General features: G+C 42.0%; 1 protein-coding gene across 11 annotated transcripts in view, besides 6 other annotated features; it reads right to left on the bottom strand.

Moving 5' to 3' along the window:
• GEMIN8 (gem nuclear organelle associated protein 8) overlaps positions 1-6,289 on the bottom strand; it is a 45,708-nt gene extending 39,419 nt beyond the window's left edge. For 4 of the 11 annotated variants that reach the window (XR_001755703.2, XR_001755702.2, XR_007068192.1 and 1 more), the window contains exons 1-2: positions 6,174-6,289; positions 2,537-2,618 (exon numbers count right to left, since the gene is read on the bottom strand). Coding sequence is in view for 1 of the 11 variants with exons in the window: in XM_005274555.4 (XP_005274612.1) it covers positions 2,537-2,806 (270 nt within the window). In the remaining 10 variants the exon portion in view is untranslated. Of the gene's footprint in view, positions 1-2,448 lie in introns of all 11 variants that reach the window. The other 7 variants (XR_950464.4, XR_950467.4, XR_950466.4 and 4 more) reach the window with 4 other exon arrangements.
• Positions 5,878-6,378: an enhancer, noted in NCBI's record as "H3K27ac hESC enhancer chrX:14047600-14048100 (GRCh37/hg19 assembly coordinates)". NCBI's record gives its function as "activates a minimal SCP1, AML or CMV promoter by ChIP-STARR-seq in primed H9 embryonic stem cells {active_cell/tissue: H9 hESC(primed)}" and the evidence as "EXISTENCE:reporter gene assay evidence [ECO:0000049][PMID:30033119]".
• Positions 5,878-6,879: a biological region, named in NCBI's record as "H3K27ac hESC enhancers GRCh37_chrX:14047600-14048100 and GRCh37_chrX:14048101-14048601".
• Positions 6,256-6,455: a silencer, noted in NCBI's record as "fragment chrX:14047978-14048177 (GRCh37/hg19 assembly coordinates)". NCBI's record gives its function as "represses an EF-1alpha promoter that drives an FKBP-Casp9 reporter gene in an ReSE screen in HepG2 liver carcinoma cells {active_cell/tissue: HepG2}" and the evidence as "EXISTENCE:reporter gene assay evidence [ECO:0000049][PMID:32094911]".
• Positions 6,379-6,879: an enhancer, noted in NCBI's record as "H3K27ac hESC enhancer chrX:14048101-14048601 (GRCh37/hg19 assembly coordinates)". NCBI's record gives its function as "activates a minimal SCP1, AML or CMV promoter by ChIP-STARR-seq in primed H9 embryonic stem cells {active_cell/tissue: H9 hESC(primed)}" and the evidence as "EXISTENCE:reporter gene assay evidence [ECO:0000049][PMID:30033119]".
• Positions 6,490-6,629: a silencer, noted in NCBI's record as "silent region_20670". NCBI's record gives its function as "represses an Ori minimal core promoter by ATAC-STARR-seq in GM12878 lymphoblastoid cells {active_cell/tissue: GM12878}" and the evidence as "EXISTENCE:reporter gene assay evidence [ECO:0000049][PMID:35858748]".
• Positions 9,296-9,478: a silencer, noted in NCBI's record as "fragment chrX:14051018-14051200 (GRCh37/hg19 assembly coordinates)". NCBI's record gives its function as "represses an EF-1alpha promoter that drives an FKBP-Casp9 reporter gene in an ReSE screen in K562 erythroleukemia cells {active_cell/tissue: K562}" and the evidence as "EXISTENCE:reporter gene assay evidence [ECO:0000049][PMID:32094911]".

Genomic DNA, 10,941 nt, shown 5'->3' on the forward strand with positions numbered 1-10,941 from the left:
CCTGACCTCATGATCCGCCCGCCTCGGCCTCCCAAAGTGCTGGGATTACAGGCGTGAGCCACCGTGCCCGGCCCAGGTTTTATATTTTTATCACTAAAATCTGAATAATTTTCTGAGAGCCTGCAGCACATAATGACATTAACGCAAACTGCATGTGTATCTTAATCAAATTTGTTTTATAGATTAACAAGCAGCACAGGAATTAAATTAGAAAAGTCTAGGAGACATCTGCATGTGTTCTGGAAATTAAGTGTTTTGAATCCAGACTTCTTTCTACGCATCATAAGGCATTTAGAACCAGGTCAACTAAAATATCAATTATTCCAAACTGGGAAGTGTGATAGCCTCAAATATGGAATAAACACCATTGAGATCAAACACTACTATAGACAAAATCTTGTTTTTAGTTATAATTGGGAAAATCCAGTGTGGTATTAAAGGTTGTAGCACCAATATTCTGAAAATCCACCAGATGGCTAAGAGAGGCTCCATTTTGCAAAGCTGGAAGTTTAGGCATGTGAGATAAAGTAGACTACCATTTTAAGGAGTTCAAGGGTAATTGATGATGTTCTCCAGGCTGCTCAAATGTCAATGGCTGTGATTTAGAGGGAGGGGCCAGACACTGTGGCTCACGCCTATAATCCCAGCACTTTGGGAGGCCGAGGTGGGTGGATCACCCGAGGTCAGGAGTTCAAGACCAGCCTGGCCAACATGGTGAAACCCCATGTCTACTAAAAATACAAAAATTAGCTGGGTCTGGTGGCGCACATCTGTAATCCCAGCTACTTGGGAGGCTGAGGCACAAGAATTGCTTGAACCCAGGAAGTGGAGGTTGCAGTGAGCTGAGATCGTGCCACTGCACTCCAGCCTGAGTGACAGAGTGAGACTCAGTCTCAAAAACAAAAACAAAAACAAAAAAAAAAAGAAGAGGGAGGGAGCACTAGTTTGAGGAGAGGTAACTTTGATCCAACAAATCATCTGGTAGAAGGGCTGCTATGTTAGAAGGCCTCAGAGATCACCCAGGTACATCCTGAGCACTTATGCAAGAAAGAAGCCAAGAGAATCATTTGAGATGACTGAAGAAAGCCAGTTCCAGCTTCTGAACCAGAGGCAGTTCAGAATAAGCCCAGAGTGCCCACTATCTACATTAATTAAATATATTAATTCATCAGCTAAGGTGCTAGACTCTTAAGACCCAGGACATTATGAAAGGATGAATTTATGTTAATGATGGAGTGCAAGAAACTCTGTAGGCAATTTTGCTTTGCTTTGATTATGCTTTCCTCACAGTTTTGACCACTGGGACATTTATAATCAAACTTGCTGCCATCTTCCATCAAGTTTAAAGTCCTGAGGCTGTATGTAGACTGTGCTCATCTCACTCTTGGCTTTATTATTTTCTCTCCCTAAATCCCAAAATGTACTTGTACTTGTAATAGCCTTTTACATTTTAAGTCTTTTTAAGATTCCTAAAATCCTATATTCAAATTAACCAATTTGAATAATTGACTTGAAGAATTACACATTCGTCTCTCAAAAGTCAAATAAGGCATAGAAAAACATGTTTAAAGGAATAGCAACTTGCATAGAGCTTTATAATTATTTTTAGCTAGGTCTTTCCAGTATTATTACTTTATGCCAGCAATTTTTTTTCAGTAAAGGGCGAGATAAATATTTTAGGCTTGTGGGCCACATACAGTCTTTGTCGCATAGTCTTCACGTTCTTTGCTTTAAAAAAAAAAAAAACACACACCAAACAACCCTTTAAAAATGTAAAAACAATTCTTAGCTTCCTGAAGTACAAAAAACAGGCTGTGGGCTTTTATTTTGCCCACCCCTGTTTCATGTTAACACATTTTGAAGTTGTATAGATTCTCTCTGAATATACTGAGCATCCTAATTGTTCCTCAGTTTCCACTTGGGAATCAGTAGACGAACTTCACGATTCTCACACGTTTCATAAATGATTAGGTTTGGAGAAAGACTAGTGGAGGCAAGAAAACTGACTATGACCAATAGCAATCATGTTGACCGGTTGCTAATATGTGGGACAAAAAAACACTCTCCATGACTAAATAAGGAAATTGGATCTTTTCTTAAATATCCATATAAACATTTAAAGACTTAACTAAAAATAACAATAAAAATTCTGCAAAACCATATCAATCAGCAGGGCTTAGAAAGCAAACAGGACAGAGCTCTGAATCTCTATTCCCTGGAAAGAATATATATTCTTTCCTGCTAAGCAATCAGTTAGTCAGTTAATATCAGTTAGCTCCCAAGGGAAGAAGAGGTCCTCTTCTAGAGATAGGTCCGATTAGCTTTTTTAAGCTGGTTATTTTCTTCACGCATGGAGAACTTAAGGAGCTAATAAGAATGCCTGGGTTTCTGAAAAGCCAACATCTAAATAATTATAGACATTACAGCAACACCTTCAGAGACTACTACCTCTCAAAGAAAAGAGAGCTGATGGTTGCTGCAGATTTAGATGCCCTTTGGTCTTTAATGGTCTTTAATTCGATCTTTCATTCCTCACCTCCCTGGGAATGTCTCCCACTCTTTTATGGCACAAGCCTTCAGGGACTGAACAGTAACTTTTCTCCAATGGGCTGGTGGAGCTGAAAGAAAAGAGATTGGCAATGTCAGGGAAGGCCGGGATCCGCAGCTCTACAAACCCGGCAGCCCTCTCCAGTGAGCACAATGGCATAATGGCCACCACCCAGCTGAGCCCAGGCGAGTACAGAGACCATTCATTGTCTGTCCTCAACCACCAAAGAAGGAAGGAAAAAAACAGGGTTGAGGTCATTCACTAAACACTGACGAGGCCTATAGGCAAGGCAGAGACTGAGTCTTGAATGATATATTTTTCCATATAGCCTCTCTTAAAAAACGGATTTACACTTCAGTACATCTGCTCATCCTGCAGGATCTATTTTTAATGCATAAATATACACAAAGAACAATAGATAAGAGCTTTGTAGTTTTCAATGGATAAAATGTGACTATTTCCATCAAGTTACCAAAAAATTTCACAAATAAGTGGCTTTGTTGACAGGTAGTGCCATCAAATATATTCTTTTAATTACATATTTATGTTCTTATAAATATAGAATATAGGACAAATCGTAGCAACCAAAAAAGTAAAATAAAAACACAAATTCCCCTAAAAACTAGAATGTATACTTGAACTAGATTTTCCTATCTTCCTTTTCTACTAGAATTCTAAAAATACATGAAAATTCACCTGCTTTGATCTTTGCACAGAAACACATTAAAAGCCAATCATTAAATAAGTTACTCTGGCTAAAGCCCTGAAAGTCAAACCTTCCCTACAAAGCTCCAGTGATTTGGTTCTCTGAACCAACCAGGTAATTTGGAGGATTTAGTTAGGTCTTCAGTACACACTGTTTCAAGGAGATCTGCTGGACACTGCAGCAAAATAAGTGAAGGTATGGTGAGAAATCTGAGTGAGATAGATTGAGTCATATGCGGTTCCAAGGAATCTCTCTGTACATGCAATAATAACCCTATCACAGAAGATGTCTTCCAATAATACACACAACAGTAAGAACTTCCTCACTAAGACAAAGAATATAATAGGGTTTTGTTGAGGGCTGGGCTTCCTGCCCCACCTACTTGGGCAGCCCTGCCCCCATCCCTGGCTGGTTGCTGAGGCTGGCAAGCTCATCTGGCTTGATGCCCTCATGGCCTCCCTCCTGTGTCTTTGCATGGTCCCTGCTTAGTGATTTGGACATCAAAGATGGCTCAAGTCCAAATGGCCTTCTTCCACCTGCAGACATCCAAGCTCCATCTTGGGCAGGACACAGGCCTACTCAAGTGCACATGCCACTGTGTTCAGAAAGCCTGCATCTCCCCGTCTATAATAGCTACAGTTAAAACTGATAGGCAAGGGAGCCAAAAAACTGAGTTTTATTTTCTTTTCATTCCCTCAATCCCCAACCCCAATTTACCCTCTTCTGGATGTTGTAATAAGTACTGTCACAAAGAAGGCATAGCATGGGGAAGGAGTAAGGCTGAAAGGATGCAGTTAACAATTCTTTTTTTCATACAAATGACATTCCACCCACAGAAGGGCATTGTTTAATTTGTCAGCAAGTGTGATGAATTTGTGAATGGGTTTATTTGCAAGTTCTCTGAATCCCCTTGTGACTAATATCAGAATCAAAAGTGAAATATGAGGCCAGGAACAAAGTTACCCTCTGACTCAGGAACACAACAAGCAATGGGATGACTGAGAATGACATAATGATAACATAGTTCAAAAGAGGAAACAGATAAGTTTGTTTCACAGCAAGCATGTCCTTCATAAGCAAAACCTAGTGTGACCATAAGGTAATAAGGGTTGAATAGGCAGGTTCTGCAAATTAAGAGCATAACAGCAAAAACCATGGCTAGTTTAAAGTAGTTAAGATCGCTAGTACATTTCAGGCGTCTTATTTCAAATTTACTTTTTTCTATAAACATATTCACGGTAATTCCATGTTAATCTCTCTTTTCTGAATTTATAGGCACTCACTATGCCTCATTTACTTGGGCACTTACTCAGTTACCTGTAGGCATGGATTCTACAATCTACTCCTTTTAAGTTTCCTATTTTCCTTCCAGCATAAAAATAATAGCTAATATTTCATGCTCTTAGATGCTGCTGAAATTGTTGAGCTTGTCTGTTGTTTCCTGATAACGTTCTCTCCTCCTGCATCTACTCCCCAAAATCTCTGAGGACCTAGTAACTCAAAAAACTGACTATAAAGCACCAAATCTTTTCAGGAAGCAAATATTTAAATACATTATGTTTTCAAAGATCTTTTCAATTCATCTGATATTTGATCAACTACATTCTTTTTTCACTTGTCCAGCTGTTCCGTGGCTGAATTTCCTCTTGTAGAGAAGTTGTTCAAAAAAAGTTCTGTACCTACTTTGCAAACTCTCCAATTTACACTCTAGCCTTAACTGTTCAAAACTTTCCCCCGTCATTCTCATCTCACCCTATCCTTTAAAAAAAAACCCAAAATGATTAATCACCATCTATAGAACAGTTTCAGAATGAACATTTCTCTCTGGAACTTTAGTTTGTATACTTCCCCAGCACAGCAATGAACACACAGAGGGGATTTATACACCTGTGAACTTGCTTTCAGTTATGCTTATTCCAAGTTACTAACCAGCAGTCTTTAAAAATATATGGTTTCTGTTCACATTGAAATTACAAAGAGACTGTTATTCCGATAAATTATGCTAGCAAAAATAGTATTTTTAAAGGGTAGCTCTCATCCTACAATTCATGGGGGCTGTGAGCATAAATAATCCTAGAAGTGTTGCGTTACTAATCTTTAGTCTAGATTTTTTAAGTAATATTGTTCTGATTTGAGATGAAGAACAGCTGAATACACAGCCTAGCCTGTCAAACGAGTTTAAAAACATCATTCCTGAAAAAAATAAAATTGTTCAGAACCATCTGATCTGTACTAAGGGAACATCAAGATTTCAGAGCTAAAATGCACTTCGTTGGCCACTGGTTCAATTACAGCTCATTACTGATAAGTGGGCAGAGACACAAGGCCCATAAACTGTAGGCGCCAGATGTCTCAAGATAACTCCCACCAAAAGCTGACCTCCTGCAGAGGTTAAAGTGCAAGAGAAAAGAAAGAAACCCGAATTTTTGAGCAGAGAGGGCAATATCCTAGACATCCTTCAAGTATGTGGCTGTCCTGGGCGATCTTCTATTCAGATACTGGACTGGATGGGCAAAATCCGAATTCACCTACAGACCTTAACACGGTGGTTCTCGGCACCCCAGAATCACCTGGGCAGCTTTAAAAACTACCGATGCCAGGGCCCCACTATTAGAGATTCTGATTTCATTGGTCCGGGATGGGGGCCCGGGGATCAGAATTCTTAAAGAGTCGTCCAGTGATTCGGAAGCACTGCAGAGCTGAGAGCCTCTGGGACTGGTCCCCTCTCACAATTAACCTGCAATGATTTAGGAATCTCATGGGCCTCCGGCCCCACCTTTTGTCGCGGGATTAAGATAATTATGAGAGCAACGTGACGTCCAAGACCTCGGCTCTCTGCGCATCAGAAGAAGCCAGGGCCCGGGGCGTCTAAGCTCCTCCCTCACTCCCCAAAGGAAACCCAGCCGTCCCCGAAGTCACCTCGTGGGCGCGCAGCTTGCGGATCCTGGGCGTTGGCCGCGCAGGGGCCTAGTTTTCCTTGGAGAGACAGAGGGGGAGTGGGGGACGCGAGGGAGGCGGCTGTTGCCGGGGCGACTGGAAGCGCGCTTCCGGTGCGGAACACGTGGCGTGGCGCGGCGCGCCGGAAGTCCCCCCCTGTGTCGCGGACGTCACGTTCGCACCGCAGGCGGTGCAGTGCTGGAGGCCGGAAGCTGCCTGCTAATCGGCTACCCCGAGTGGAGCGCCGGGGCGGCAGGCGTGGGATGGCTGCGGGTGGCGGGGCCGGCGGAGAGGGAGCTGCACCGGGCGGGGCACTGGGACTGTGGCGGGCACCCGCGCCGGGGGTCGGACGGTGCTTCTGCACCGGCGAGATAAGGGTCGCTTCTGCACCGCCCGGGTTTCCAGCCTTTAACTTTTTGTCCTTTCCTCAGCTTTCTTCGTTTTCCTTCCCTTGTCTTTACTTAGCCTTTTCTTTCTTCCTTTCTGTTTTCTTTCTTAACTAAAACAGTTTTAGTTTCTTAATTTGTCCCAGCGTAAAACACCCAGTCTTTGAAAATAGATTAACCCAGATCTCAGTTTGAGTGCGAGTCCAGTGCTAAGTTTGTAACTTCCCCAAGCCTCGTGTGTCTCATCTATAAGATATGCATAACCTAATGCAGAGTGCCTGATGCATTGCAGCAGACAAAACATTAGTACTAATATGTTTGTAATTATAACCATCACAGCAATACCTGCCCTGTTAACATTACAAGAGTCATTAACAAGAACCAAGCATAAACAATTAGAAGTCTTACGTGACATATCATTTCTGGGGCAATTACCATATTTAATACTTTCTGGGAATTTATTCCAAGGAAAAACAGGTACGAACCAGATAGATGTTTATTACAGAATTATTTTAAAAAGTGAAAATTGGAAAAGACCTAAATGCCCAACAAGGAAATGGCTAAGTCAATTGGGTGGTATTAATGACGTGACATTACTGTATTATTCCTGGACTACAGAAGAATTAAAATGGTATAGAAGAATATTAACTTTAACAAATATTTACTGGATGCCGGCTATGTGCCAAGTATTCTATGTTAGCGCTGTCCATTGTAACCACTACATGTGGCCCTGAGAACCTGAATTGTAGTAGTCTGAACTGAGATACACTGTAAGGGTAAATTACACTCTAGATTTTGAAGAAGAATGAGAAAAAGAATGTAAAATACCTCAATTTCTTTATAGTGATAACATCTTAGAGAAGGACTATTGAGGTTAAAGACTAAAATTTGATCTTTATCTTTTTACTTTATTAGTGTGGCTACTAGAACATTTAAAATTATATATGTGGCATGCATTGCATTTCTATTGTACCGTGGTATTCTATTTACCGGATACACAGTAGTAAACAATACAGTTTTGGGGCTCATAAAATTAAATCTTTTGTGTAGAACATAGACAATAAGCAGATAAATAGAATTGTATGTTGTGGTGAGTTATATGAAGACAGTATAGCAGGGTAAGGGCCAGAAAGTATGTGTATATAGAGGGGGATTATTTTAGAAAAGATTATTCCTCCACCTCAGAAAATGGATGTGGGAGGAAATGAGATATCTATGGATAGAAGCAGGAGATGGTAGGAGGGTGAAGTCTTATGGGAAAAGTCAGGTGTGGATTGAGACAGATAAGTCAGATGGGGCCTGGTGCAATCTCTACCTCAAGGAAGAAGCCAGCATCTAGAGAGGCAGGAAAGAAAGATGGAGAGGGGTAAGATAGGGAGAAAGAGCTTAGGGGGTTCCTGGGAAAGGCAGAAGGATGCAGGCCTAGAGTGGATATAGTTCAGGTAGAGTGATTCCTGGTTCTATGAATGAAAAAATACAATATATATGGTATACTATGGCATTAGATAGAATATTAGTTGGCTGCTGTCACAGAGACCCAGAAGAGGAGTGGCTCAAACTGTTGAGAAGTGTATTTCTATCTCATGGCAGTCTGGGTGTAAGGAGTCCAGAGTATGGCAGCTCCACCTGTCTCATAGCTCCACCCTCCCTGGTTTCTTGCCTTGGCCCACATGGTCCAAGATGGTGCACCACTGCACCTTTCAGCCAGTGGGAAAGAGAAAGCCAAGGGCATGCCCTTTCCCTCTAAGGATTTCTCCACCTTGGCACTATTCACATTTGGGGTTGGATAATTCTGTGTTTTGGGGGTTGTCCTGTGCATTGTAGGAGTTTTAGTAGCATCTCTGGTCTCTACTCACAAGATGCCAGTACTGTCTCCCAGTTGTGACAGCCAAAAATGTCCTCAGACATTGCCAAATGTCTCCTGGGCTGGGGGAGGAGGGGGCAAAGTCACCCCCAGTTGAGAACCACTGCTTTAAGAGTACTACCCAGAGGCGGCCCACAGCACTTCTGATCACTTCCTACTAATGGCCTGAACTTCATTACTTAGCCCTCCTAAGGGTGCAGGAGCTTGGAATTGTCTTTTTCAGATGGCCAAGTGCCCAGCTAAAAGTTGACTAAAGAAGAAAAGAAACTAGCTGATTCTCCCATACCCTTGTTGCTGCAGGGAATGGAAATTCTGTAGCTGATTGAGGATGTAGTCCTGTTCTTTTCATCTTTAAGTCTGAGTTTTAGTCATTACTCACTTTAACTCACTTGCATAAAAATACTGGTGGTGGGGAACACTAAGCACCTAAGGAGCGACAATCCTATTTGAAAAGAATGGGGATTGTTACTCCAGGGGGTTAACCAGGGAGAGAAACTGAATTTTGAAATGGAGGCTAGAGGAGGTTGGATTTTCACTTGTCATTTGGCGCCACCTGGTGGAAATTTACAAATGGCAATTCCTCAGTATTTAATTTTTCTCAGGCATATGCTTCAAATTTTAAATGGATTATAGCAAAACTTTAAAGAATCCTGTCAGATGAGGAACTCTAAAGCATGACCTCTCACTTTCTGCACTATTGGCATTTGGGGCTGCATAATTCATTGTGGGGACTATTCTGTGCATTGTAGGATATTTAGAAGCATTCTTGGCCTCTGCCCACTGGATGTCCCTCCCTGCCCCCATTTGTGACAATCAAAAATGTTTCCAGCCATTGCCAAATGTCCCTAGGGTGAGGGTGTGGGGAATGGCTCCTGGTTGAGAACCACTCCTTGAAACAAGGCATCTAAAATCCCAGTGCCTGTTAAGGCATAGTAGTCCCCTATCAGTGTATCCTGGTGTGTCTGGAAAGGATGGGGAGGCAGTGCTGGGAGAAAACGGCACCAGATGCAGCAGGACGTGTCCTCTGGTTTACACTTTGGAGAATTTCGCTCCTGTTTATCTCAACCATAGGAGATGAGATTGAGGGAGAGAAGCCAAAAGGCGTGGCTACAGGATGTAGTTTCTTTAAAGGCCCTATGGTAAGGAAATATATAGAGGTTATTACCTAACACAGGAAGTAGCACCGACGAATCTCAAACTCTGTTACTGGGGCCCCAAAGTTCAGGTGCCAGGTGTGGAAATCCTGCCAGCTGTGGGAAGCCATAGCTAATCTCATGGGGCTTTTTGGATCCTCCCCTGTCCCCCAGCTGGGACCCATCTGCCACCTAAGTGTTGTGAAGAAACAGCTTGGGAACCAGTCCCCTTACCTGGATCAAGTAAATGGTGCTAAACCACCTGCAAACAGTAGTCCTGAATTCTTACTTTGAAGTTGGGTAAAGGAAAGAGCAGTTTCCCAGGAGCACCCCCTAGCAGGCCCTCGCTTCAGGTCCGGCTCAGGTCCTCTGCTATAATTTCTCTTTGATTTCACCTTCTCAAGCCCCTGCCTCACCAGCCCCAGACCCTTCGTTTCAGCAGATGACCACTTCCTATTGACACAATTGAGATGACCAGGCATGGATTTCATCACCTTGAAATATATTGCCATCTGCACTCACCATGCCTCTTGGTTTAAAGAGGCATGATGAATGCCTTTGCTTGTGCTTAGGCCAACCCAGTCAAGGGTTGTTCTCTGGATCCAATTCCATGTCCTCACAGGCACCTCACACCCTCAATTGTACACCTCTCGTATCATTGCCTCTCTCTTTCCTGGCTTCTTCCCCATCAGCATCAAACTTACTCAGGTTCTCTGATCTTTAAAATCATTTGGGCTGATTTTTCACTCTCCTCTCCTCACCTTTCTATTTTTCCACCTCTCTTTTTGGTTATACTTCTGTAAAAAGTGAGATACCTTTATTTCCTCACCTACTTTCCACTCATCCCACAGCTGTTTCTCTTCAGGCATGTCCATTCCGGTACAACTGTCTCACTGGCATCATGGCTGACTTTCCATCTACTATATTTTGGCCTCTCTGCAGTATTTAATACTATTGTCCATGCCCTTTTTCTTTAAAATTACAAGATTTTCTCTCCCCAGACTGCAAAGGTAACATGTGCTTAATGCAAAAAAGAAAAATACAATAATAAAAACACAAATCTTGGACAACTGAGGCACTTAAGTACAAAGGAAAACAACAAGAATGGCTTGCAATGCCATTACTTTAAAATAACCACTCTTTAGGATATAACAATTATATATATATATGCACTCAATACTGGAGCATTCAGATATATAAAGCAAATATTATTGGAGCTAAAGAAAGAGATAGGCTCCATTACAATAATAGCTGGAGATTTCAACACCCCACTTTTCAGCATTTGACAGATCTTCCAGACAGAAAATCAACAAGGAAATATCAAACTTAATCTGCACTATAGACCAAATATTTAATAGATATTTAGA

This window comes from Homo sapiens, chromosome X, assembly GCF_000001405.40.
Source record: "Homo sapiens chromosome X, GRCh38.p14 Primary Assembly".
NCBI classification, from domain to species: domain Eukaryota; kingdom Metazoa; phylum Chordata; class Mammalia; order Primates; family Hominidae; genus Homo; species Homo sapiens.